The sequence below is a fragment of the Homo sapiens genome, chromosome 21 (genome assembly GCF_000001405.40).
Source record: "Homo sapiens chromosome 21, GRCh38.p14 Primary Assembly".
Taxonomy (NCBI): domain Eukaryota; kingdom Metazoa; phylum Chordata; class Mammalia; order Primates; family Hominidae; genus Homo; species Homo sapiens.
This window is the reverse complement of record NC_000021.9, coordinates 32,598,972-32,626,918: the sequence shown is the minus strand read 5'-3', so window position 1 is coordinate 32,626,918 and position 27,947 is coordinate 32,598,972. Positions and strand designations below refer to the sequence as shown.

The 27,947-nt window shown below is 45.5% G+C and overlaps 2 protein-coding genes and 1 pseudogene across 8 annotated transcripts in view, besides 3 other annotated features; 2 read left to right on the top strand and 1 right to left on the bottom strand.

The window, feature by feature from the left end:
• On the bottom strand, nucleotides 4,875–5,857 carry OR7E23P (olfactory receptor family 7 subfamily E member 23 pseudogene; annotated as a pseudogene).
• Nucleotides 14,301–14,410: an enhancer, noted in NCBI's record as "active region_18365". NCBI's record gives its function as "activates an Ori minimal core promoter by ATAC-STARR-seq in GM12878 lymphoblastoid cells {active_cell/tissue: GM12878}" and the evidence as "EXISTENCE:reporter gene assay evidence [ECO:0000049][PMID:35858748]".
• Nucleotides 14,542–27,565, top strand: CFAP298 (cilia and flagella associated protein 298). 5 transcript variants are annotated; one of them, NM_021254.4, is made up of 7 exons: nucleotides 14,542–14,814; nucleotides 16,914–17,081; nucleotides 19,203–19,270; nucleotides 22,636–22,794; nucleotides 23,627–23,758; nucleotides 24,552–24,647; nucleotides 24,946–27,565. In NM_021254.4, the coding sequence occupies exons 1-7, from the start codon at nucleotides 14,676–14,678 to the stop codon at nucleotides 25,054–25,056; spliced, it is 873 nt and encodes a 290-aa protein (NP_067077.1). In that variant the 5' UTR covers nucleotides 14,542–14,675; the 3' UTR covers nucleotides 25,057–27,565. The 5 variants fall into 5 exon arrangements, with proteins under 5 accessions (NP_067077.1, NP_001337263.1, NP_001337265.1 ...); NM_001350334.2 differs by lacking the exon at nucleotides 19,203–19,270; NM_001350336.2 differs by lacking the exon at nucleotides 24,552–24,647.
• The window catches only part of CFAP298-TCP10L (CFAP298-TCP10L readthrough), a 48,886-nt gene continuing 35,480 nt past the window's right edge, over nucleotides 14,542–27,947 (top strand). For all 3 annotated transcript variants that reach the window (NR_146638.2, NR_146639.2, NM_001350338.2), the window contains exons 1-5: nucleotides 14,542–14,814; nucleotides 16,914–17,081; nucleotides 19,203–19,270; nucleotides 22,636–22,794; nucleotides 23,627–23,758. Coding sequence is in view for 1 of the 3 variants with exons in the window: in NM_001350338.2 (NP_001337267.1) it covers nucleotides 14,676–14,814; nucleotides 16,914–17,081; nucleotides 19,203–19,270; nucleotides 22,636–22,794; nucleotides 23,627–23,758 (666 nt within the window). In the remaining 2 variants the exon portion in view is untranslated. The remainder of the gene's footprint in view (nucleotides 14,815–16,913; nucleotides 17,082–19,202; nucleotides 19,271–22,635; nucleotides 22,795–23,626; nucleotides 23,759–27,947) is intronic.
• Nucleotides 15,071–15,120: an enhancer, noted in NCBI's record as "active region_18364". NCBI's record gives its function as "activates an Ori minimal core promoter by ATAC-STARR-seq in GM12878 lymphoblastoid cells {active_cell/tissue: GM12878}" and the evidence as "EXISTENCE:reporter gene assay evidence [ECO:0000049][PMID:35858748]".
• Nucleotides 22,146–22,440: a silencer, noted in NCBI's record as "tiled region #410; HepG2 Repressive non-DNase unmatched - State 15:Elon, and K562 Repressive non-DNase unmatched - State 17:Gen3'". NCBI's record gives its function as "represses a minimal TATA promoter and a strong SV40 promoter by Sharpr-MPRA in HepG2 and K562 cells {active_cell/tissue: HepG2 | K562}" and the evidence as "EXISTENCE:reporter gene assay evidence [ECO:0000049][PMID:27701403]".

The window sequence follows — 27,947 nt, the reverse complement described above, 5'->3', positions numbered from 1 at the left end:
TAAAGCTGCTATGAAGATAAGTTTTCATGTCTCTGGGATAAATGCCCAGGAGTGCAATTGCTTGGTTATGTGGTAATGGCATGCTTCAGTTTTTTAAAAACTGAAACTCTTCCGGAGTGCCTACCCTTTTACATTCCCATCAGCAATGCATGAGTAATCCAGCTTCTCCACATCCTTTTCCTCATTTGGTGGTGTCACTATTTTTTATTTTAGCCATTATAGTAGTGGATGTTTCATTGTAGTTTCAATTTGCATTTCCCTAACAGCTAATGATAAAAATCTTTTGTTTTTGTTTTGTTTTCTGAGACAGAGTCTTGCTCTGTCAACCAGGCTGGAGTACAGTGGCACAATCTTGGTTCACTGCAACCTCCGCCTCCAGGGTTCCGACGATTCTCCTGCCTCAGTCTCCCAAGTAGTGGAGCTTATAGGCGCCTGCCACCATGCCCAGCTAACTTTTTGTGTTTTTAATAGAGATGGGTTTCACCATTTTGGCCAGGCTGGTCTCGAACTCCTGACCTTAGGTGATCCACCCACCTCGGCCTCCCAAAGTGTTGGGATTATAGGCGTGAGCTACTGTGCCCAGCCTGAAGATCTTTTCAAGTGCTTATTTGCCATCTTATATTCAGTGAAGTGTCTGTGGTATTTTACCCATCATCTAAATGGATTTTGTTTTTACAGTTGAGGGCTATGTACATATTCCAGATTCTACTCATCTTTCATTGGATATATGGTTTGCAGATACTTCTCCAGTCTGTAGCTTAGTCTTCATCGTTTTTACATGACCCACAGCCAGATTCTGAGCTCTGCAGGACCAGAAACTATAGCAAGGGTGATAGGCATGTAATAAACAAACTCACAAGAAACTGATGTATAAATTAAAACACCAATTTATTAATGTTAGAAAAATGTCTGACTGTATCAAGGATTACCAATTATATGGAGAGGGGGGAACTCTTAACATGGTTGGTGAAAGGGTAAACTGGCACATCAGCTCAAGAAAACAATTTAACAATGTTAGGTAAAATTCATATACCCTATCAATAAGAAATCCGACTTCTAGAGAAACTAGGACCTGTGGAGCATGAGAGGCATTGTTTGTAATGGTGAAAACCACAAATAAACATCAACAGGGGAGTGGAGTGGCATAGTCATACAGTGGAATCGTAGACAGCAGTGAAAATAAGTGAGTGAAAAGAACATACGAGAAAACCTCACGGTGTAGCCATAAAGCAAGATACAAAATAGTAAGACACCATTTATATAACATTTAAAAGGCCAGGCGCGGTGGCTTATGCCTGTAATCCTAGTACTTTGGGAGGCCAAGGCGGGCGGATCACGAGGTCAGGAGTTCGAGGCCAACATAGTGAAACTCCATCTCTACTAAAAATACAAAAAAATCAGCTGGGCTTGGTGGCGGGCGCCTGTAATGCCAGCCACTTGGGAAGCTGAGGCAAGGAGAATCGCTTGAACCTGAGAGGCGGAGGTTGCAGTGAGCCGAGGTTGCACCACTGCACTCCAGCCTGGGTGACAGTGTGAGACTCCGTCTCAATAAATAAATAAATAAAATAAAAAAATTTAAAATACACGAGGATATATTTTTAGGGGTACATACACGTTAATGGTATAAAAAACATGCAATGGAAATGATAAACACCAAATTTAGAATAGCAATTTACCTCTGGAGAAGAAGACGAGAATGGGATTAGAAAGAGGTATGTGGGGGCTTTAACTGTATCTGTAGTGTATTAGGACAAAAAAAAAGTAGTCAATAGAGTTAAATTTTCTCTTTTTCTTTCTGGCTGCCTGACATCCAGCAGCCATCATGAATGACTCATAAATTATCCAGACCAGGACGTTAATCACTGATGAATTGCTTAACAGATACAAATGGTCATAAGATGCTCTTCATCCTAGAACAGAAACAGCACCTAAAACACTAAGAGAAAACCAGCCAAAACTCACAAGACCACACACCAGGTGTCATCTTGGTCTTCAGATTCAGAAGTCACTTGGGTGCCTGAGGGCAAGACAACAGGCTTTGCATGATTTATGATTGCTGAAACCACACCAAGAAAGAGCTAACCACAGATATTTAAGACAAGACCTGTATGAGAAGAAAAGGACCTTAAGAAAATGCTGAACAGGGCCAGGTGGTGGCTCACGCCTATAATTCCAGCACTTTGGGAGGCTGAAGCGGGCGGATCACCTGAGGTAACGAGACCAGCCTGGCCAACATGGCAAAACCCCGTCTCTACTAAAAATACAAAAATTAGCTGGGCGTGGTGGCAGGCGCCTGTAATCCCAGCTACTCAGGAAGCTGAGGCAGGAGAATTGCTTGAACCCAGGAGGCAGCAGTTGCAATGAGCCACTGCATTCCAGCCTGGGCGACAAGAGTGAGACTCTGTCTCAAAAAAAGAGAAAAAAGAAAAAAAAGAAAATGCTGAACAGAATGCAGTTATAATAAAGTCATGAGGACAACGAATACCAGGGCTGACAAATTTAAAGATACTGCACAGGCTTGATCTGTGGTGATTTTAATAATCACTAGATGATTACTAACCTACATATTTAAACAAAACTGGATGGTCAGTACATGGGTTCTTATGCAACGATTTTCTACATTTCTCAATATTATTAAAAATTATATTGAGACCCTGTAAAATATGTAAGTTTGTGGACATGTAGCTCTCTATCTGGAAGGCTATACTGTAAAATTTTAAGAAGTTGATGGGTACAGAATTGGATTCAAGAGAAAGGGCATGACCTTATGGCGGGCAGTCAGGAGCTAAGAAAACATAGTAGCCCATTTCTCCTTCCGGCGAGATAGACATTTGCCAATCAGACCAGTACTGCCTGTTCCAGCGTTTGGGTGATCCCTGTCTCAACAGTACTAGAAATAATAACACATCTTCCCCCTAAGGCTCCATCCCCCTTCTATCCACTATCAGTTATCAGTCTTCCTATGAAGCCGGGATTGGCTTTGGGCATTTCCAGGCCTTCAGTCATACACTTTCTCCCCACAGGCCCCCTTCCCCAATACACACTCCCCAGTGATATTATTCGGAATATCCACAAGAGATGTTATTTTTGATGTCACAGACGGGGTCCACCCTTTGATATTTTTTGTCATATCTTAGGGAGATATTACTTCAAATATCACAGTGGGTGTACACCCACTGTGATGTTATTCGCAATACCCTAGGGAGACATAACTTTTAATACCACAGTAGGTGTACACACTATTTGTGTATATCTGCTGTGATATTATCCCTAATATCCTAAAAATAAATAGAACTCCTAATATCACAGTTGGTGTACACACTGTGATATTATTCATAATATTCCAGCGGGATGTTACTCCTCAGGTCACAGGGGGTTAATACCCTGGGACAGTATTCCTCATATTCCAGGGCGGTGATACTCCTGAAGTCACAGGGTGTGTACCCCCTGCAATATTATTCATCATATTCTAGGGGGATGTTACTCCTAATGTCACAGGGATGTACCCCCTGTGATATTATTCATAGTATATGAGAGGGATATTATTACTAATGTCACAATGCGTGTACACCTTGTGATATTATTTGTAATATCCTAATGTCACAGGGGGTGTGTTCCCTGTGATATTATTCCTAATATCCTAGACGGATGTTGCTTCTAACATCACAGGGTGTGTACACCTTGTCATATCATTCATAATATCCTAAAACTACGTTATTCCTCATGTCACAGAGGGTGTTCACCCTGTGATATTATTCGTAATAGTTTTGTGGGATGTTACTCCCAATGTCACATGGGGTGTACACAGAGTCACACAGTGATATGACTTGTAATATTCTATAGAAATGTTACTCGTGAATCACAGGGGCTGTACCTCCTGTGATATTATTCGTAATATTCTAGGGGAATGTTACTACAATTGTGACACGTGGTGTACACCCTGTGATATTACTCGTCATATCATAGCGGGCTGTTACTACTAATGTCACAATGCGTGTACACCCTCTGATATTATTCGTTATATCCTCGGGGGATGTTACTCCTAATGTCACATGGGGTGTACTCCCTGTGATATTCTTGTTAATATCCTAGGGGGATGTTACTTTTAATGTCACCGGGGGTGTATATCATGCGTATTCAACGCCTGTGATACTATTCCTAATACCCTAGGGGCATGTTCCTCCTAATGTCACATGGGGTGTACACCATGTGTGTTCACCTGCTGTGATATTATTCGTAATATCCTAGGGGAATGTTACCCCTGATGGCACAGGAGGTGTACACCATGTGTGTAAACCGCCCGTGTCATTATTCGTAATATCCTAGGGGGTTGTTTCTTTTAATGTCACAAAGGGTGCACAAAATGTCACAGAAGGTGTACACCTTGTGACGTTATCTGTAATACCCTAGAAGGATGTTACTCCTAATATGTCACAGGGGTGTACACACTTTGATATTATTTGTAATCTCATAGAGAGATATTACTTCAAATATTACAGTGGATGTACACACATAGTGTATACCCTGTGATATTATTCATAATATCCCAGGGAGATACAACTCCTGATATCACAGTAAGTTTACCCCGTGTGTGTACACCCTTGATATTAGTCGTAATAACCAGGGCAAATATGACTCCTAATATCACACAGTCTGCACACCCTGTGATATTTTTCATAATATTTTAGGGAGATATTGCTTCTAATATCACAGTGGGTGTACCCCATGTGTATACTCTGTGACAGTGTTTTTTATATCCTAGGGAGGTATTACTCGTAATATCACAGTGGGTGTTCACCCTGGGATGTCATTCTTATTTGACCTTGCTGCCTTTTTTAACCCATCCTGCAAAAGGAATGGAACAGATAAGATATTGAGATGAGACTGTGCTGCCGTGCGGCTGCACGGCTGCCACAGGACACCTTTAATATCCCTGTTTCTCAGGCTGTAGATCAAGGGATTCAGCATGGGGGTGACCACTGTGTACATCACTGAGGCCACTGCACGCTTTCTCAGGGAAGACGACACATCTGAACTGAGGTACCCTCCAACGCCTGTTCCATAAAATCAGCAAACAACTGACAGGTGAGATCCACAGGTGGCGAAGGCTTTATAGCTCCCACCTGATGATGAAACCCTCAGAATGGAGGAAACAATTTTATAGTAAGAGAAAAGGGTCCCCGAGATGGGAAGAAAACCAAATATGGCAGCAGGGAAATACATGATAATGTTATTGGTGAAGGTGTCACAACATGCAAGATGGGGGAGTTGAGAAGGGTCACAGAAGAAATTAGGAATTTCCACATCCTTGAAGCAGGTGATTTGTAAGGCGATCAAGTTTTGCAGCTGGGAGTCTAAAAGACTGAGAAAAAAAAAGACAACAAAACCAGGAAGCCACAGAAACACGGGTTCATGATGGCTGAATGATACAGAGGGTGACAGATGGCTACAAACTGGTCATAGGCCATCACACTCAGGAGCATGTCTCTCTTCCATGCCTCCAAAAATGGCAGAGAGAGACATCTGAGTCAGGCAGCCTGCATAGGAGATGACTCTGCTGTGAGATTGGATGTCCACGATCATCTTGGGGACCGTGGTGGAGGTGAAACCGATGTCAGGCAAGGACAGGTTGCAGAGGAAGAAGTGCATGGGGGTGTGGAGGTGGGAGTCAGGGCTGACGGCCAGGATGCTGAGCAGGTTCCACAGCACCGTGACCAGGCACACAGGCACAGCCCAGTGACGACCAGCTGCAGTGCTGGATCCTCTGAGAGTTCTAGGAGGAGGAATATAAAGACATCTGTTAGATTCTGTGGGTCTGTATAGTTTGGACATCTTTTGCTTAGAAAAGAGGGTTGAAAAACCGGAAACAAGTAAACCAACACCCAGCATTGTGTCTGCATTTTGGATATAAGCAATTCACAAGTCATGTTTTCAGATTTCAGAGCAATCCACACTCAGCAATATTTTACAGTTCTGACAAACTCAATTGTCTTCTAATGCTTTCATCATTGATTTCTGTGTTATTCACTTCTTGCTCTACACACCTGCCTTAGAGACACTAGATTCAAGAATGTTCCAAGAACCAGATCATCATATATAACAAATTCGTAATTGCTAGAAAATATAGCCTATCTTTTCCGAAGAAAAATATGTAATAAAACCATTCTCTTCACTTTAAGAAAAAGGTTATCCTAATTAAAGGAAATTAAGAACTCAAATATTTTATTTTATTCTAATAGATTGATACAAATTCCCTTGATTTAGAACATTTATAAACACTGTATAACAGCTGAAACCATGCCATCTGGAAATGAAATTAAAGTTGATAGTTCATAAGCAGAAAATAGTTCCACATGCCAGTTAGGTCCTAGTGATTTCATTATGCTTTCTGACTTTTCTCCTTCAAGAGAGTAATTGCTTACTCAAATCGGTGCATCTTGTTTTAAAATTCATGTAAGCTATAACTCCTGTCCTTAGCTTAGGTGGACTTAGAATTTTCATAAGAACGTTTGGCCAGATGCGGTGGCTCACGCCTGTAATCCCAGCACTTTGGGGGGCCGAGGAGGGTGGATCACGAGGTCAGGAGATCAAGACCATCCTGGCCAACATGGTGAAACCCCACCTCTACTAAAACTGCAAAAACTTTGCCCGGTATGGCGGCGCGCACCTGTAGTCCCAGCTACTCGGGAGGCTGACGCAGGAGAATGGCTTGAACCTGGGAGGCAGAGGCTACAGTCAGCCGAGATCACACCACTGCACTCCAGCCTGGGCAACAAGAGCAAAACTCCGTCTCAAAAAACAAAAAACGAAAAGAATCAAGTAAGTCGAAGTCACGCTGATGACAGCCAATGTTTGTGAACCAAGGAAGTGTCGATTCAGTAATTGACATAGATGTTTCCTTTTGCTATCTCCTATGTGCCAAGCAAGATATAGACTCTGGGGAATCAGAAACAGAAGACACTCACTTGTTCCTCTCACAATACTCAGTACTTACCGAGACAAAGACAAAACAAAATGTCCTGTTTGGAATGCAGGGAAACCAGAACTTCAGGTCAGGGGATATTTCCGGTGAATTGTATGGACTTTAAGCTTAAAATATTAATGAATGTATCTAAAATTCACTTTGCCTTTACTTTATGCATCCATCACATAGAGATCACGCAGCGGGCACCCACGATCGGTTTCATCATCGCTCACTTCCATTGGATCAACTAGATCAACTCAGATGAGAGTGCTGAGTCTCAGAGGATGGACGTCTCACCCTTTGCCATACAGATAAGTAGAAAGGGTGGTATTCCAAATTCATGGCCAGACTCTAAGTCCCGGGTACTATACTTCATGGTCTTCCAACTCTCAAAAAGTTGTGGTTTTGTTTTTGTTTTTGTTTGAGACAGAGTCTCATTCTGTTGCCCAGGCTGGAGTGCAGTGGAGTGACGTTGGCTCACTGCAACCTCCGCATCCCAGGTTCAAGCTATTCTCCTGCCTCAGCCTGCCAAGTAGCTGAGATTACAGGCACACGCCACTACGCCTGGCTAATTTTTTTCTATTTTTAGTAGAGATGGGGTTTCACCATGTTGGCCAGGCTGGTTTCAAACTCCTGACCTTGTGATTCGCCTGCCTCAGCCTCCCAAAGGGCTGGGATTACAGGTGTGAGCCACCACACCCAGCTTCAAAAAGTTTTAAGCAGAGCTCAGAGGTCTTAACCACAGGCACATCTGAGGAGCATTTTTGAAACGGTTTCCAGCTTCCTCAATAGGAATGGAAGCCAATCTCCGAACTGATGACTCCTTTGAGGAAGTCGAGAGCTGTAAGGAAAGCCAGGAACAGGGGCAAGGGAGAGATGCATCCCGAATGATCCTGTACTAATTCTTTCTGGAATCCTTGATGTGATCTCAGCTGCCCTTTCTATACTTGACACAGTGATTGTGGCACCCACTGGTCTAGCTGTGGTCTACAAGGAACCCCCAAAGGGAAGGGCACAGTGAGCAGGGGCATCGGCCTGAGTGACAAGGATTTGAGAGGGCAGGTTGGATGCAGGGAGAGGACTGGCCAAATGCCATGTGTCTGGACTTAGACTGCCTGGTTCAAATTGGACTTCACCCTTTTTGACTTCATGATCTGGTACAAGTTATATGAAAATGCGTTGCTCCTTTTCTAGTCTGTAAAATAATAATGAAATGTGCACTAATAACTGGGAGACTACGCAGATGAAATGAAACAAGCTGCATAGAGCACAGAGCTCAGAGTCTGGCCTTTAGGAAGCCCTCAGTAAGGGTTCATGGTGCCATGGTGTCTGTCATCATCCTCTTTATCCTCATCATCACCTTCATAATCTTTTTGTTGTTCTTAGGGAATAGTTTAGAGAGACTCATTCCCTGCTATCATGGATGAGATGTCTATGAAAAGGACAACCAGTGGGGGAGGAAAGCAAAATTTTGAATAAGATTTCTGAGACCCCCCACCACAACCAAGAACAGAAACTCCACAGTCTGCTGAGTGGACAGTTTGCACATTGGTCTCCTCCCATCTGCCCACCGCACTCTCTTGTTTGTCTTGAGGATGAGGAAACAAAACAAGCCTCCCAGCGGTCCCTCAGCACTCACTGAACTGCCCTTCCCCTCTGCTAGGCCGTGACCACGGAGAACAGGTCCACTGTCCTCCCTGCGTGGTGCATGATGGAGGCTCAGACTCCGTCCTCAAGGCTGGCAAGAAGACAGGGTGAGACATGAGCCTCCTGATACAGGTGACGGGTGTGGAGCCCACAGGACTGGAACCTCACACTGCAGGGCTGGAGGCACAGACTGAGTATTTACTATTCTGTGGCCTGGGGGCCTCAAGGCACAGAGCTCCTCATTAGCCAAAGTCACCCAAGTTCCCCAACCTCTAAGGATTTCCTCATAATAATGCAAGAAGAAGAGAAAAGTGAGTGTCCATAGAAGCTTTGGGGCTCTTCCTCTAATCAGGAGAAAGCTGGTACGTATTATTCGCTTCTTTCCTTTTTAAAGATCCAACTGCTTTCATTTTCATCTTTGATTATGGGAAAATATACCACATATAAATATTAAAAATTATAAATATATATTATTTCCTATAGAATGGCCAGTATAAACATTTACAATTTCCACTGTTTTTCAGTTTACAGTTTAATGACATTAAGTACATTCACATTGTTTAGCAACCATCACCGCCATCATCTCCAGAACAGTTTTATCTTTCAAAATGGAAATTGCACCCATTCACCAAACTCTCCATTCCTCTCTCTCGCCCACCCCTGGGGGCCACCATTCTAGTTCACAACTCTATGAGTTTAACTACTCTAGACACTTGATAGAAGTGGAATCATACCGCATTTCTTTTTTTTTTTTTTTTTTTTTTTTTGCAGACCGAGTCTTTCTCTGTCGCCCAGGCAGGAGTGCAGTGGTGTGATCTCGGCTCACTGCAACCTCCACATCATGGGTTCAAGCGATTCTTGTGTCTCAGTCTCCCAAATAGCTGGGATTACAGGCGTGTGCCACCACGCCCAGCTAATTTTTGTATTTTTAATAGAGACGAGCTTTCACCGTATTGGCCAGGCTGGTCTCGAACTCCTGACCTTAAGTGATCCGCCTGCCTCAGCCTCCCAAATTGCTGGGGTTACAGGTGCAAGCCACTGAGCCTGGTCATGTTTATCCTTCTGGGATTTATTTATTTCACTGACGATAATGTCTTCAAGGTTCATCCACGTTGCAGCCTGTGTCAGAAGTGCCTGTCTGGTTTTTTTGTTTGTTTTGTTTTGTTTTGTTTTATTTTGTTTTGTTTTGTGTTTACATGGAGTCTCACTCTGTCGCACAGGCTGGAGTGCAGTGGCACAATCTGGGCTCGCTGCAACCTCTGCCTCCTGGGTTCAAGCGATTCTTGTGCCTCAGCCTCCCAAGTAGCTGGGAATATAGGCACACGCCACCATGCTCATCTAATTTTTTGCATTTTCAGTAGAGACAGGGTTTCACCAAGATGGCCAGGCTGGTCTTGAATTCCTGACCTCAGGTGATCCGCCCACCTCGGTCTTCCAAAATGCCGGGATTACAGGCGGAGCCACTGCACCAGCCAGAAGTGCCTGCCTTTTGAAGGCTGAATAGTCTTCCACTGTATGAATGAACTGCAGTGTGCTTTTTCATTCATCTGTCCACGAACCCTCGGGTTGCTTCCACATTTTGGCTGTTGTGAATAATGCTGCTATGAATATGGGTGTACAAATATCTCTTCCACTCCTGGCTTCTAATTCTTTTTGGTAGGTACCCACAAATGCAACTGCAGGAACATCTGATAATTCTGTTTCTAATTTTTCCAGTACACGCCATACTATTTTCACTGTTGCTTCACGGTTTTACATTCCCTGCAATCATATTCGAGCATTCCTACTTCCCTCTAGTCTCACCAATGCTTGTTTATCATATCCATCCTAATGTGTGGTATCACATTATTGGTTTGATTTGCGCTTCCCTATGATGAGTGATTTTGAACATCATCTTAGATGCTTATTGGCCATTGCTGTATCTTCTTTAGGGACACGTCTACTCGAGTCTTCTGACCATTGTCAATGGGATGCTTTGGGTTTCTTGTTGCTTAGTTCTAGCTGTTCTTTATACATGATGGATATCAGCCTCTTTTCAGATATATGATTTGCAAATATTTTTCCGAATCCATGGGTTATCTTTTCACTCAGTTCACAGTGTTTTTTGATGCACAAAAGTGTCTGTCATTTAGATGTAATCCAAGGAATCTAATTTTCTTTCGTTGCCTATGCTTTTGGTGTCATATCCCAGAAAGCATTGCCCAATCTGATGTCATGAAAGTGTGGCCAATGTTTTCTTTGAGGCATATTATACTTTTAGCACTTGGGGTTAGGTCTTTGATCCAGTTTGTGTTAATTTTTGCACCTGGTGTGACATAGGGTCCACCTTCATTCTTCTGCATGTGGAAATCAAGTTTCTCCAACACCATTTCTTGAAAAGGCTGCTTTTCCACCAATGAGCTTTCTTAGCACTCATGTTAAAAATCATTTGAACACATAGGTGAGAAGTTATTTCTGGGCTCAAAAACAAACAAACCACAACAAACAACAGATAAGGATACAGCATGGGCCGGGCGTGGTCGCTCACGCCTGTAATCCCAGCACTTTGGGAGGCCAAGGCGGGCGGATCACCTGAAGTCAGGAGATCAAGACCAGCCTGACCGACAGGGAGAAACCCCCGTCTCTACTAAAAATACAACATTAGCTGGGCATGCTGGCGCATGCCTGTAATCCCAGCTACTCAGGAGGTGGAGGCAGGAGAATCACTTGAACCCAGGAGGCAGAGGTTGTGGTGAGCCAAGATTGCACTGTTACACTCCAGTCTGGGCAAGAAGAGCAAAACTCCATCTCAAAACAAAAAACAAAAAACCAGCATGATTTCAAGAGCAGAAGACAAGAGCTTAAAAACCAGCATAATGAGAAAGTTAGGAAGCTTCTTACCAAAGCATCTGGAAATATGCAAGAAATTCTTGTGAACTAAAATTTTCATACTGTACTATCAAACACTAGAACTCACTTACTCCATCTTTCTGTATTTTGGGACCCAATTATCCACTTCTCCTCATTCCCCATCCACCCCTTTTCTTCCTAGCGTCTGCTAACCCCCTTTATACTCTCCACCTTCCTGAGATTCCTTTTGTTTGTAGGTGTGTGATGGAGTCTCTTTCCATTGCCCAGATTGGAGCATACAGGCACAGTCCAGGCTCACTGCAACCTCCACCTCCCGAGTTCAAGCGCTTCTTGGGCCTCAGCCTTCCGAGTAGCTGAGACTACAGGCACGCATCACCACGCCTGGCTAATTGTTTGTGTTTTTAGTAGAGACGGGGTTTCACCATGTTAGCCAGGCAGCTCTCAAACTCCTGGCCTCAAGTAATCCGTGCAACTCGGCCTCCCAAAGTGCTGGGATTACAGGCCTGAGCCACCTGGCCAAGATTTTCTTTTTTGTTCCTACGTATAAGTGAGGACATGTAATATTTGTCATTCTGTGCCTGGCTTATTTCACTTAACATACAGACCTGCAATCTCATCCATTTTTTCTGCAGCGGAGAGGATTTTATTCCTTTTTAGGCTGAATAATACTTCATTGTGTGTGTATACCGCAGTTTCTTAATTGAAACAAATTTCTAAAAAGCAAATATTTAAAAAATGTTTCGGAATGTGAAACTTTAGGGATATTGTGCCCATTTTATTCTTTTCTATTTCCCATTTTATGTATATGCAAGTGTATAATAAAGCAGCAATCAATGTGTGTATAAATCTGTAACTTCAACAAATGTAAAATGAAAATGCTAAGTGGTGGCTGGGCGCGATCGCTCACGCCTGTAATCTCAGCACTTTGGGAGGCTGAATCAGGCGGATCACCTGAGGTCGGGAGTTCAAGACCAGCCTGACCAATATGGAGAAACACTGTCTCTACTAAAAATACAAAAAAAAAAAAAAAAAAAAAAAATTGCCGGGCATGGTAGCGCATGCCTGTAATCCCAGCTACTTGGAAGGCTGAAACAGGAGAATCGCTTGAATACGGGAGGCAGAGGCTGCAGTGAGCCGAGATCATGCCATTACACTCCAGCCTGGGCAGCAAGAGTGAAACTCTGTTAAAAAAAAAAAAAAAAAAAAAAGAAAAGAAAAAAAGAGAAAATATTACTTCCATTATCGCAGGGGGTGCTCACCCCTGATGATATTGTTTTCTAATATCCAGGGAAGGAGAGTATGATATTACTCCCAATATCGCAGGGGGTGTACACTTTTTTGTGATATTGTGTCTAATATCCGGGGAAACAGAGGATGATATTACTCCCAATATCGCAGAGGGTGGACACCCCCCTGGGATATTGTTCCTAGTATCCCAACGGGGAGAGGATGATATTACTCCCCATATCGAAGGAAATGTACACCACCCCTGTGATATTGTTCCTGATATCCAGAGAGGAAAAGAATGATATTACTCCCAACAGCGAAGGAAATGTATACCCGCGCTGTGATATTTTTCCCAGTATCCGGGGGGGAGAGGATCATATTACTTCCAATATCGCAGGGTGTGTACACCCCCTCTGTTATCTTGTTGCTAACATCCAGGTTTGGGGAGGAAAACATTACTCCCAATATCACAGGGGGAGTACACCCCTCCGTGACCTTGTTAGTAATTTCCTGGGTGGAGAGGATGACATTACTCTCAATATCGCAGGGGTGTACACCCCACTGTGATATTTTTCTAAATATTCAGGGCGGGAGACGATAATATTACTCCCAATATCGCAGAAGGTGTACATTCCCTGACCATCAAACATAAGAAGTCCATCAACCTGTTTAGTTTTCTTTAGATCTGTATTTGAATTTGTGTTGTCCGTTTGTTTATTTATTATTTTTGAGACACAGTCTCACTCTGTCGCCAAGGCTGGAGGGTAGTGGCGCGATCTAGGCTCACTGCAACCTCCGCCTCCCGGGTTCAAGCAATTCTCCCACCTCAGGCTCCCTAGTAGCTGGAATTACTGGCACGCGCCACTACGTTCGGCTAATTTTTGTATTTTTAGTAGAGAAGGGGTTTCACCATGTTGGCCAGGCTGCTTTCGAACTCCTGACCTCAGGTGATCCGCCCTCCTCGGCCTCCCTAAGTGTTGGGATTACACGCGTGAGCCACCGCTCCTGGCCTGTCCATTTATTTTTGTTTTCTTTTTGTCACACTAAAATATAAGCTCCATGAGAGCAGTGACTCTGGATCTGTGGGGCCCGGAATAAACAGCGACTGACGCCGACTGCCTTCAGCAAGAGTCCGCTGGAGGATGGCTGGATATTTCTGGGAGGGTCGCTCTGGCAGGGGCCGCTGGAGCTACCCCAGCAACGCCATCCAAATCAACCTGAACGAAGAAGTGCGGACACTCGCCCTGGCCCCTCCGTCCTGAAAAGCTGACCCGCGCAAACAGCAGCGAACAGCAAGACTCAGTTCTGGGTCGCTGCCGCCGAACTTTCCCAGGCCGGAAACAGCGTGGAAACGTTGCCGGAAGTGGAGACTGAAAGCGGCGGAAGGGACGCTGGAATGTGGAGCGGTTGTGGGGCGGCAGCTGCGGAACTGCGCGATTGTGGTTCCCGCCGTATTTCCCGTTCCCCATCTAGTAACTCCCATCTCAGCCCACGTATCTCCCTGAGTGGAAATCTCGGGCCCCAGACCAGTCGATTGGGAGGTCCGCCCTCCCCTTCAGCGACTTGGTCTGTGTTTTGGCAGTTGCCGCGACAACAGTCACTTCCGGGAAGGGGCTCTGCGAATCTCCTTCCGTCGGTCCGCTCAGAATCAGCTGTCCTCTCAGACTGTGTGGGTGGTTTCCCCGGCCGCAGCTCCGTACGGGCTTGGATTGCTGGGCCTCGGTGCACCCCAGCCTCCCCCACTCGGGTTCTGAGCTTGAGCTGGCGGCTCTTTAACTCTGCTTCACTGTTGCTCTTGGCAACATCCACTTCCGGGAGCGAGTGCCGTTTCCCCCGCTCACCGCGGGCTAGGGAGCGTGGGATTCCGGACTGTGAGCGGCTGTTAGTGCGTCGCAGCTGCTGGCGATCCGGCGACCCTCGGCCGGCAGGACCCGCGGGCCACGCAGCCGGGGCCTTCTCAACGCCTCAGTACCTCGGCGGGACCGCCATGGTTCTGCTGCACGTGAAGCGGGGCGACGAGAGCCAGTTCCTGCTGCAGGCGCCTGGGAGTACCGAGCTGGAGGAGCTCACGGTGCAGGTGGCCCGGGTCTATAATGGGCGGCTCAAGGTGCAGCGCCTCTGCTCAGGTGCGGCTCGCGGGTGGGCCCATCCCGGACAGATCGAGAGACCGGCGTGGGATGGAGAAAGAGGGGCAGGGTGGGCCGAGGGGTCAGGTTTGTGAAGATTATTGAAGAGATTTGCAGCAGCCGGGGTTGAAACGGGACACTAGGGTTAACCGGAGATGAATAAGGAACCGGAGAAGATCCGGCCTGTCTGACACCCCGGGCTGGGAGGTGGGCCCAGGTGCCTCTCGGAGCCAGGATTTGGGGTGCTGCGAATAAGTGGAAATGGGCTGGGGAGGGAGGAGGGAGCCGAAAGGCCGGGCTGAACAGCAGACTTAGTGCAATTAATCACGTGTGAGGGGTGAGATGAGAACTAGGTGGGCTTTTAAAAGCTGAATTTACTATTTTTAGTCGCCCAATGTAAAGCAGCGAGCCACCTGGCTTTGGGACGGCCCCTTACAGTTGAGGAAGCCTTGGTGATCTTTCCCCGCCCTGGAAACGGCCTGTTGCGTTGCGGCGCCGTCTCCCTACCCCGCGCAGGTTCCAGGGCACCCGCTTTGCCGCAGAACTTTCCGGCGGTGGAAGGGCCCCCATCTGTGCTGTCCATTGGGCAGCTGCCGGCCACTTGTGGCCGTAGAGCATTTGGAATGTGGCTAGTGCGGCCAGGCAACCGAATTTTACATTTGCATTTTAATTAATTAAATATATATAAATATAAATAAATACCATATATATAGTATATATGAATATAAATAAATTATATATATGTATATATAAATATAAATAAATTATATATATATATATATATATGGTATGTGTGTGTGTGAGAGACAGGGTCTTACTGTTGCCCAGGCTGGAGTGCAGTGGCGCGATCTCTGCTCACTGCAACCTTCGCCTCCCGGGTTCAAGCTATTCTCCTGCCTCAGCCTCCCAAGTATCTGAGATTACAGGCGCCCACCACCACGCCCAGCTAATATTTGTATCTTTAGTGGACACGGGGTTTCATCATGTTGGCCAGGCTGGTCTCGAACGCCTGACCTCAGGTGATCCGCCTGCCTCCGCCTCCCAAAGTGCTAGGATTACAAGTGTGATCCATCGCGTCTGGGTCATTTTAATTTAAATAAATTTAAATCGCCAAGTGGAGCGAGTAGCTGCCGCATTAGACAGCATAGTTTTTGAACTTGACGGGATGATACTTCCTGATGTGGTCTAGGATATTACTGTTTATATAACTATCGTGTATATATAGAATATACAAACGTAACTATTTGCAATAAATAGTATATTCATTTATGTGATTTATTAAATTGCATGAATATGTGATTTATTATGAAATGTATTGATTACATTATATGAATATGTGAGTTTTGCACCGTGGAGAAATTCCTGAGGGTCATGGTTCTTTTCATGAAACTTATGTGTAGTTTCTTAATTGAGGTTCCAACACAAACTCAATATTAAATGTTATTTTTAAGTTAAAGCATTTGAGGAGAAAAGGAATTCATCTTCTTTTCCTATAACGTTATAAATTGGAAATGTGCTGAATGCTAAGAGTCACATTAGTGAACTGAAAATTCATGTATTTATTCTGCACCAGTGCTCAGCCTTCAGAAGACAAGGATGGGGCCGGGCGTGGTGGCTCACACGGGTAATCCTGACACTTTGAGAGGCTGAGGCGGGCGGATCACTTGAGCCTAGGAGTTCTAGACTAGCCTGGGCAACATGGTGAAACCCAGTCTCTACTAAAAATACAAAACGTGGTGACACATGCCTGTTGTCCCAGCTACTCGGGAGGCTGAGGCGTGAGAATCGCTTGAACCCGGGAGGCAATGCTGCAGTGAGCTGAGATCGCTGCAGTGAGCTGAGATCGCGCCACTGCACTCCTGCCTGGGTGACAGAGGGAGACCCTGTCTCAAAGAAAAAAAAGACAAGGATGAATAAGACCAGTACCATGCCCCCGTGTCAAAGGCCCAGGCCAGGTCTGGCACATAGCAAGTGGCATATAAATGTTTGTTCCATAAAATAGTGAGCCAGATGGGCAAGACCCCTGACTCTTTGGAGCTTACATTCCAATGGGGTATGAGGTGTTATGATTGTGATACTGTCTTTCACTTATTTTTAAGAAATGGAAGAATTAGCCGAACATGGCATATTTCTCCCTCCTAATATGCAAGGACTGACCGATGATCAGATTGAAGAATTGAAATTGAAGGATGAATGGGGTGAAAAATGCGTACCCAGCGGAGGTGCAGTGTTTAAAAAGGATGATATTGGACGAAGGAATGGGCAAGGTAAGTGAGGATTTCTCTTCTATGTGCATGCTTGATACAGGCATAAGTATGAAAACAGTTCCTTTTTTTTTTTTTGAGACGGATTCTTGCTCTAGCCCAGGCTGGAGTGCAGTGGCACAATCTCAGCTCACTGCCACCTCTGTCTTCCAGGTTCAAGCGATTCTCCTGCCTCCGCCTCTTGAGTAGCTGGGACTACAGGCATGTGCCACCACACCTGACTAATTTTTGTATTTTTAGTAGAGACGGGGTTTTGCCATGTTGGCCAGGCTGGTCTCGAACTCGTGACCTCAGATGATCTGCCGGTCTCGGCCTCCCAAAGTGCTGGGATTACAGGTGTGAGAAAGCAGTTCTTTACGTTTAAAAATTGACCTCGTCATTTCTCTACAGACTTACAAAATACTGTACTCTGTAGCTCCTTTGGTAAAACTCTAATCTAGGATGAATTAGGTAGATAAAGGAAGCTTTTGTCTTGCTCTTTAATAAGTTGCAGCTTGCTTTTATATGTATTCGACGAACCAGATGAAATGACCCTTTCCCTTCTGTAGCTCAAAAATGGTTGAGTATTGGCAATTTCATGTGTTTCCACCTAATAATTGTTGGCAGGTCCTCACCGCAATGTATTCAGAGTTGTGTTTTGTTACTGTTCGCAAATGTTGGGGGATCTTTCGAGATGGACTGTGTGAAAGAGGAAAGGGAAAGCATGTCAGCACATGGACTTCCCTGATCAAGGACATGCTTCTCTCTGGGGCAGAGCACTTCAGTACACGGCAAAACACTGAGGAAATTCCTCTCCTTTCAGTGTTTGGCTGATCATGTGGAATTGATGATAATCCTTTTTGATAGCTTATTCTTTTTAACCTGCATTAAAAGCGCCATTTAAAACACTGTAATTGAACAGCCCTAAAACACTGTTAGGAGTAAAAGAACAGTATTCCTGCAAGGCCTTTAGCAGCTCAAAAATACATTTTTTTAAATATCAGGGATAGTAAGAATTCCTAGTATTTTTTCCTTTCAATGTTAACCTGAAAAATGGTTGTCTTCCACAGCTTTCTTACGTAAGAAGATGTGGTAAGATGAGGAAAAAAAATATGAGAACCAGTTAACAGTTCATTATTCATCATTAAACCAATATGTAATATGTTCTTAAATTAACCACCTTTTTTTTTTTTTTTTTTTTTTTTGAGACAGAGTCTTACTCTGTCACCCAGGTTGGAGTGCAGTGGCACAATCTCGGCTCACTGCAACCTCTGCCTCCCGGATTCCAGTGATTCTCCTGCCTCAGCCTCCAGAGTAGCTGGGATTACACATGCCTGCTACCATGCCCGGCTAATTTTTGTATTTTTCATAGAGACAGGGTTTCAGCATGTTGCCCAGGCTGGTCTCGAACTCCTGACCTCAGGTGATCCACCCATCTTGGCCTTCCGAAGTGCTGGGATTACAGGCGTGAGCCACTACGCCCAGCCTAACCACTTCTATTATAATACAATCTTGTGTTTCTAATATTTTCAATGTCTAATTAATACTGTTATTTACTAGGAATGTATGGTTTCAACTTGCCCCATTTTCCCTAGGTTTGGGCATTCCATCTTCTTCTTTTTTTTTTTTTTTTTTTTGGCTTCTAAGCTTTCAAGTTATTATTTTTTCCTGATCTAGGGGTCACCAAATTATGGGCTACAGGTCAAATTTAGCCAGCTGCCTATTGTAAATAAAATTGTAAGGAGACGCAGCTACCCCAGTTATTTAAGTATTGTCTGCTCTTGTGCTACGTGGCAGAGCTGAGTTATCCCACCCAACAAGACTGTGTGGCCTGCAAAGCCTCAAATTTTACTCTCTGGCCCTTTCCAGAAAAAGTTCACCGGCCCTGTTTACCCAACGACATGCATTTCTGTTTTTTGTAGCCTTTGCCACTTTGCGTAAAGCACACTCCAGGTCTCTGCTGTTGGGAAGAGGTCTTCACCTAACTTCCGGCAGCCAGGTTTCTTGCTTCTCTTCCCTAAATTCCACACTCGCACTCTCTCTCAGTTCATTTACCCCCTGACTCAGACAGAGGGGATTGAGGTATTTCAGAAGAGGCTTTGTATTTGACAGCTCTTTCTCCCTCTCTCCTTTTTATTTTTATAGCTCCAAATGAGAAGATGAAGCAAGTGTTAAAGAAGACTATAGAAGAAGCCAAAGCAATAATATCTAAGGTTGGCTTTTTTAAATGATGCACTAAAACTTGTTGGGTTTTTTTTTTTTTTTTTGGAGATGGAATTTTGCTTTTGTTGCCCAGGCTGGAGTGCAATGGTGCGATCTCGGCTCACCACAACCTCCACCTCCTGGGTTCAAGCAATTCTCCTGCCTCAGCCTCCCGAGTAGCTGGGATTACAGGCATGCACCACCATGCCGAGCTAATTTTGTATTTTTAGTAGAGACGGGGTTTCTCCATGTTGGTCAGGCTGGTCTCGAACTCCTGACCTCAGGTGATCCGCCTGTCTTGGCCTCCCAAAGTGCTGGGATTACAGGCATGAGCCACCGCGCCCGGCCTAAAACTTGTCTTTTGAGATAAAACTCCAACTCTGGCTTCCAGAGTTGCCTCTCAGCCAGCCTTCTCTTTCAGCCTTCCGGAGGCAAAGGAAACAAGCGTATTTGGGGTAGGCTGTAGCTTTTCCTTTCATAATCCTGACGGTTGCCCAGAGGCCTCTCCGTTCCTCCAGGCAGACACAAATTTTTGTTGGCTTATGTAAATATAGGTTCACGTATAATACAAATATGTATAATACAAATGTTGATTTCATTTCTTTTACCTTTTTGAAGAACTTAACAAAGTTAAGTAGGGGAGATTTGAATATTGTGGCCATCGAGTAGCTCTCCAGACACTTGATTGACTTAATATGTATTTGATATAAATGGTTTTTTGTAATTGTCTTCAGCATTTTATACAAAGGCTAGTTTATAGAGGGAGGAGCGTAAATTTATACCATTGATATACAGATAATGTGTATCTGGAGGAAGAGAATTTAAGGCTATTGAAAGAAGTGGTATCTGTATCTGTTGCTTGTATTTGTGTGTTGGTGATATTAGTTGCTACCGCTCTCAACTGCAAGTCTCTTGACTGATCACCACTTTTTCTTCTGCTTCTCCTGGTTTGCTCAGCAGAACTGTTATTTTTAAACCAATATTTCTCAAACTTACCAAGCTTTTGACTAATCTTTGAAGAGCCTCAGCAAAGGCTGCCCTGAAGCTCTGTGCCTGTTAATATAGGAAAGGCTTTATGAAGCTCTACAGGAGAGGCCCTGGTTGAGCCCGTCGTTTGCGTGGTGATGGCATCTAGGCATGTGAGCACGTCTCAGGCCATGGCAAGAAAACAGTGGTCTGGCTGTTGTTCTGCACCCTTCTCCCCACACTTTGCTGTGGAACTCCTCTCTCGGTCGCCTCACTTCTCCCCTTTGCCTGTGTACTTCTGAAAGTACTTTTTATCCTTGGTCTTCTTCCTCTCTCAGTATCTTATCTACTCTGCCAAATGCAAATTCCACCCTCTGCAGATAACTCTGAAGCTTCCATCCTTTCCCCCTGACATCTTGCTTCACTTCCAACCTGAATTTCCAGCTGGTTGTGAGATGGTTCTATCTGAACACCCAGTCAGCACTTTGAAGTCCAGTTTTCTAGAAATGAGCTCTTTGCTTCCTCACTCCTCTCCCTCTCTGTTCTGTCCCTGAGAATCAGCACCTCCTATGAGCTTCTCTGTTTCCAGTAACAGAACCACAGTGTCTTGGTTTTATAGGGCAAATCCTCAGTGTCATCTTCAACACTTCTCCCTTCTGTCACCTCTAGGTTTGAAGTGGGGTTCTGTACCGTCTGCTCCCATGATGCCTCTTAAGTCCACCTCTTCCTTTCACTTCCACAGCTGTGGCTTTCTTTAAGGCTCTCCTGTAGCCTTTTGCATTCTGATGCCCACTGGGGGTCCTGCCAGTCAATTCAATTCCGTTCTGACACTAACTACTCAGAGACAGCACAGACCCCACAGGTCAAGGGCAGATCCTTCAATTCTGACACTAACTGCCTGGAGTTAGCATCAGACCTAAAAGTTAAAGGGTGAGATCACCAACAAGACTCCTCTTATTTCAGACACCAGCTGCACGTGAGGTCCCCAGGCCACCCATACTTGTGTCCAGCTTGACTACAAATTTGGAGCTTCCCACAACGCCCCCACTGATGTGTGTCACCCGGCACATCAACGTCTTCACCAATCAGGAAGCTTCACTGAGCCATGATGTCTGGGATTTTTATAGCGTTTTTGTTCAGTAGGCATGATGGCTTAAACCACTGGCCACGTGTTTGATCCCAACCTCTAGCGCCTGGAGGTGGAGGAAGGGAGTGAGGCCGAAAGCTCCAACCCTCTAATTATGTGCTTGGTCTCCCAGGCACGGCCAGCCCCTTCCTTGAAACCCAGCGCGGACTACAGGTTACTGTATTAGCACAAGCTCAGGTATGGTGAGAAGGGGCTCGTTATAAATAACAAGACACTCCTGTCACTCAGGAAATTCCAAGAGTTTTGGAGCTCTGTGCCTGGAACTGAGTAGCAAAGACCAGATATATTTGTTATTTCATCACACCTTCCTCTGTACTCTTCAGAGCCTGCTACCTGGTCTCCCTCCAACTAGGTCTGTTCTTTTTTTTGAGGCAGAGTCTTATTCTGTTGCCCAAGCTGGAGTGCAGTGGCACGATTTTGGCTTACTCCAACCTCTGCCTCCCAGGCTCAAGCAATTGTCCTGCCTCAGCCTGCTGAGTAGCTGGGACTACAGGCACCTGCCACCACGCCCAGCTAATTTTTGTATTTTTAGTAGAGACAGGGCTTTGCCATGTTGGCCAGGCTGGTCTCGAACTGCTGACCTCAGGTGATTTGCCCACCTCGGCCTCCCAAAGTGCTGGGATTACATAAGGTGTGAGCCACCACATCTGGCCAACTAGGTCTGTTCTATATCAGCTACAAGATAAATCTCTCAACATTACCACTCCTTCCCAGAAAAGGCAGTCGCTTCCCGTGGCCTAACAGAGGAAAGGTGAACTCTTCAGCCTGGCTTTTGTGGCCATTCAAAAACAAACTTCAGCTGATCCAGCTAGAGCTGGCCTCATCTTCTCTCCTTCCTGCCCCATGCTGAGGGGGCTGGCGCCTGCTTTTCTTTGTTTCAGCTTGTCCTGAAGCACCTGCTGCCATCTGTACCTTTTCAGCCCATCTGCATTTCGAGGCCCACCTGCGGTGCCTGCTCCCCCTGCCGTATCTCCCGATCCTCACTGCCATCTGTGCTGCCAGCATTGGGCTCTTTCTCCTTTGAGAATTCTTTGCACTTCATTGTACTCCATGCTCAGTGCTGCTCACCGTCTGCTTTATAATACAGGCCACGGTGTGCTTCGCTCAGCCCCTGAAATAGATGGTAGTCACTCTGGGAGCAAGAACTGTTTGATTTCTTTTTGTTGCTCTGGCAGTATCTGGCAAGGGTCTTGTACAAGATCTTGATCGAATTTATGGAAGTGATTAGCCACACTGTAGATAACGATGGCTTTCTGCTTGCAGAAACAAGTGGAAGCCGGTGTCTGTGTTACCATGGAGATGGTGAAAGATGCCTTGGACCAGCTTCGAGGCGCGGTGATGATTGTTTACCCCATGGGGTTGCCACCGTATGATCCCATCCGCATGGAGTTTGAAAATAAGGAAGACTTGTCGGGAACACAGGTACGTAGTTTGTGAGTGGGTACTCTGGAGGTTGAGTTCCTGGCCCCCAAAGCCCTTAAGATTTGATGCCCCTCTTCTGGATGTAGTGTTTTGCTCCCTACACAGCTTTCAGGTTTGCTATGCCCTGCTTCAGAGCAGAGTTCTGAATTCAGGAGCAGCCCCTGAGAGTGGGTACTCATGAGTGAGGGGTTTGGCCCCACACACAGGAGGCAGTGGACGCAGTTTGTGAGGCCGCTCATCAGGAGTGACTGCAAACATTTCCACTGTCTTTGGCTGCTAGGAAGCCAGCTACCTAATTTCTTCCTATTTCTACCCAAATGCGTCAGTCCCTTTGCATGGAAATTTGTGTTTCTAGTCTTACCTGTTGCTTCATGTTATTTTCTGACCCTCATGTTCCATTTTCCTTGGGTTTTCTCACTTCTTATCCTATTGGACAATATTCTTTGTCTAAGCCATGTTAAATAAATGAAATATGCAGAAGTAAACAGGCAGCCCCTTTATACCTCGATTTAAACACCCAGCACGATGCCAGTGCCCTTCCCTGGCAGTGGCCTACAGATCTGTCTAAGACGAACTATATGGATCAAGGTGCAAATGAGATAGGATCTCCCTGTTGTCCAGAGGAGGAAGTTAACTGAGTCAGGGCATGAGTGGAAACTTAACAGGGAAGGTACTAAAGTCAGCAAGGACTTAGAGTGAGGTGCGGGAGTCAGGCCTCCCATGGTGAGCACGGGGAGAAATCTGTCCCCTGCCCCCTGCTGGGAGGGGCTCAGCTGGGCTCTGCCCCCTGGGTGGGAACACACAGTCAAGCCATTCTTACGACTGGCCCCAGGCAGGGCTCAACGTCATTAAAGAGGCAGAGGCGCAGCTGTGGTGGGCAGCCAAGGAGCTGAGAAGAACGAAGAAGCTTTCAGACTACGTGGGGAAGAATGAAAAAACCAAAATTATCGCCAAGATTCAGCAAGTAAGTACTTTTTGCTTTAATGTGTCAGTAGTTTTTGTTATTTCCCTTCAAACTGATAAAAATGTACAGTGAATCCGAAAGATTTAAACTACTGGTACAAATATTTTAATCTTATTGGCTCGGGTTTAAACTAAAAATATCCTCTTCCTGCACACCAACAAAAACTGGAAGAAAATATGGATTGAGTACCAATATCTAGAGTTTGTTTTAATATGTGGGGGAGAGGAAATATACTATGTTAATTTCAAGCGTAAAAATAGGGCTGCAAGTAAACAGATATGTTCCTTGAAATGTAAAATTTCGCCCGTCACTGATTTCAGGCTTTTTCAAACTGCTGATGCTGTGTACAGGAGGGGGAGGAGGAAAGGTTCGAGACCTTTGAAGGACATCGTGTAGCGCTGTAACCTGAGGGGCCGCCTTGGTTTTGTGGGTGCTCCTACGTCACTAGGCTGTGATTTTGGGGAAATGGGGCCCTCCACCTTATGTAGATCCAGAGTCCGTGGCTCTGAGCATCCTCCCTTTCCCACTGGACCTGCCTGCAGTGTCTGCCTTGGGAATGGTCAAGACAGAGATGGTATCGTGCAGCCTCTGGTCTCCACACAGTGAGAGTCCAGGGCTCAGGGCTGCTCAAGACCAAGGCTTCCCTTGATGCTTCACTTCGGGTGATCAGACATGGGGGACCTGTTTATCTTTAGTAGCCGGCAAAGGCAATCGTAAAACATTTGTTGTAACTTCAGGATTGTCACTCTAAGAACACCTTAATCCACAATTTGCTCTGCTCTCCTCTTTGCAGAGGGGACAGGGAGCTCCAGCCCGAGAGCCTATTATTAGCAGTGAGGAGCAGAAGCAGCTGATGCTGTACTATCACAGAAGACAAGAGGAGCTCAAGGTAGCAGGGGACAGATGGGCTTTCTGCAGTGCTGGCGCCCACACATAGCCTGTGTGCCTTACCTGGGGCTGCTGGGGAGCAGTGAGCTCTGCAGAATGCCGGGGAGGGGTCTTTCTAGAGCTTCTGTCTGCAGGTCTGTCGGGGTCCTGCCAGGTGTCCCCTGGTGTTAGACATGGCAGTATCCTGCTCCTAGAGGGCAGGGAGAGGGGGAGGTCAGTCATGGACTCTTTCTTCAGTCTCTTTATGTGCAAAACACTTTCCTGAAATGCCTGCCTGAATAAAACATACTTATTTCCAGAGATTGGAAGAAAATGATGATGATGCCTATTTAAACTCACCATGGGCGGATAACACTGCTTTGAAAAGACATTTTCATGGAGTGAAAGACATAAAGTGGAGACCAAGATGAAGTTCACCAGCTGATGACACTTCCAAAGAGATTAGCTCACCTTTCTCCTAGGCAATTATAATTTAAAAAAAAAAAAAAGGCCACTTACTGCCCTCTGTAAAAGATGTTAACATTTCTAGTTTTCTTTTAGTGTGAATTTTTAAAATAGCAGTTATTCAAGGTTTTAGAACTTAATAAATACCTAGTCAGAAGAAAATGTGTAAATCGTTTTTGTTTCAGGACTATTTAGTATGTCATGGTTTTCTTTGATAAAATACTAAACTTTTGGCCGGGCGCGGTGGCTCACGCCTGTAATCCCAGCACTTTGGGAGGCCGAGGCAGGCAGATCACGAGGTCAGGAGATCAAGACCATCCAGGCTAACACGGTGAAACCCCGTCTCTACTAAAAATACAAAAAATTAGCCGGGCATGGTGGCAGGCGCCTGTAGTCCCAGCTACTCGGGAGGCTGAGGCAGGAGAATGGCGTGAACCCGGGAGGTGGAGCTTACAGTGAGCCAAGATCACTGCCACTGCACTCTATCCTGGGCAACAGAGCGAAACTCTTGTCTCAAAAAAAAAAAAAAAAAAAAAAAAAGCTACACTTTTTTTTCTTCCTGATTGTTTTATATTCTCATGATAACTGGTTTATTGGAGGAAAGCTGATGACTGGCAGTGACCACTAGTGACCACTAGATGCCGCCAGGCACTCAGCATGCTTTTTCTCCTGGCCCTCTAGATCTATTGGAAGCTGAACTCCCAGCCTTGCTGGAGAGACTTCTCTAACCCTGCTGCGGGGTCTAACTGTAGCCTTCTTTAACCCTGCTGCGGGGTCTAACTGTAGCCTTCTTTAACCCTGCTGCGGGGTCTAACTGTAGCCAGGCGTTGCCTGGCCTTGAAGGTGAAGTTTGCCTCCTGGTTGGTGCCTCTCTGGCCTTGTATTCTGGGAGCGAAAGCTACAACCATGATGAAGGTTGAGTAGCAAACTCATCTGACTTTGAAACTTAAATTCTTCTGGAGTTTCTCAGCTTCTCAAGTCTCCTTCATGAGAATAGATCCTGAAAACAAATCCAGATCCCGGTAGAGGGTGATGATTTCTCCCTATGGATGCGGGGTCTGATTCTAGGCCAGCTTCGTACGCAGCTCAGTGACCAACCACGGGATGGATGGGATCACTATCATCCTAACTGAGTATCTAGGACACCATTGAGTTTAAAGACTCCAACTCATCATCACTGTAAACCATCCAAGTATCCTGCAAACCCTGGCACTTTAGCATCTGAAAGACACCTGCCAGACTGCCTGTGGCAGTCCCTCATGCTTGACTTTTGGTGCCTAGGGTCCTGTTCTCCTGGTTAGAGGGAACTTGGTGTGCTCACACTGAGGGAAAGTGAAGGACGCGGGGCATCTTCCTGCCCTGGCCTTCCTGCCTTGGTGCCTGCGCTCCCCACCATCCTGCAAAGAGGAACCCTGGGAGTGAGTGGAGGTGGCAGGGGTTTGGTTCCTGCCTGCTGCCAGGCGGCCTTGCCCAGGGGGTGGGTCCCAGACCTGAGAGCAAAGCGCTGTTCTCTGAAGTGCTTTGTAGCTGACTGCATCTTGTGCCTTACTCTTTTGGTTGATTTTCAAATTTTGTAAAAGCAAATTTGCATCTATTTTCTCTTTTACTTGGTTATAGTTTTAAATGTCTCTATGAAAGGGTTTTGACCTTGGATGATGTAGTATATGCAATAAGATGCTGTGATTTTATTTCAGGAGCATCCTGTCTTTGTCAGTGTATAGTTCGTGTGTGTTAAATTCATGCTCAGACTTGTAAGAAACAGTTAACCAAGCCATGTGATCATAGTAGCTCTTTTCAGGGAACTACTACTTCAATATCATTAGAAAGTCTTACTGAGCCTGCAGTAGGAATACTCTTTTGGCCGTGATAGTTATCCCATTGCTTCATGTAATCAGCAGAACTTACTAACCAAAAAGTCACTCACGCATGACACTACACTCCTTAAATACCCATGCGAGAAGAACCATCCTCTCTCCCTGCCCTTGTCTGCCTCAAAAGCCTCTCTGAGCTTGGTGTGTTTGGGTGCAGCAGATCTCAGGAAGTACGTGAGTAGCTTATTTGCAAGCCATCTGTGACGGCGGGGGGCAGGTGGTGCCCGCTGTGGCACCGTGCTGTGTGTGTTCCCTTTGCATCCACTTGCTGACTCACCCAAGGTCACAGGTAGCTAGTGGTGGTAGGACCACAGGGTCACGTCCAGGAACTTTCCCAGGATTTCCCAAGAAATCAATTTATCAACAAAAGTAATCTTGCCAGTGTTAGACCACTGATCAGCTTAAGTCTGTGGTCTTGTTGTTATTTTCTTCTTTTTTTAATCCAGTCCCTGTTTGAGTCAATATCAAAAGGAAACCAAGTGTCTGCTGTATGCACGGTGCCCATCTAGGTCTGTGGTTTTGTCCTTTGACATAACTTGTCTTCTTATGTGGTTCTTTCATGGAGACCAGGAATGCTAGTAATAAAATTTGATACCACCTAAAACCTTTTCGACCATCAAACTGACAGCATCAGGCAGTATTTCTGTCACAAGATTACCTCGTTCCTTGGCAACTGCTCTGCAAAGAGTGTGCCATCAAGCTTGAAATGAACTGCCACATACTTGGAGCACAGTAGCCTTGAGAGGGTCTGAGCTCACTAAATTCCCTTCCAAAGCCTCAGCAACCACCCCCTTGAAGAAGTGACCAGAGAGAGCTGCTTGCCCCGACCTCTTGCCGTTCCTTGCAAGATAGGAGTTGCCCCTCTACACTACCAAAAACCCACTGGCCCTGGACAGGGCTCAAGGAGAGAGGTGGCTGATTTCCAGGAGAAGTTCGATACTAGACATAACAGTAACGGCAGCTGGCATTATGGGGACTTTGCTATT

Excerpts from the sequence above, each read along its gene's own strand:
- CFAP298 (NM_021254.4), top strand. The coding sequence starts at position 14,676 with ATGGTTCTGCTGCACGTGAAGCGGGGCGACGAGAGCCAGTTCCTGCTG. Across the intron at positions 19,271-22,635 it reads CCAAAGCAATAATATCTAAG|AAACAAGTGGAAGCCGGTGT; the intron begins GTTGGCTTTTTT and ends TTCTGCTTGCAG. Across the intron at positions 22,795-23,626 it reads AAGACTTGTCGGGAACACAG|GCAGGGCTCAACGTCATTAA; the intron begins GTACGTAGTTTG and ends GACTGGCCCCAG.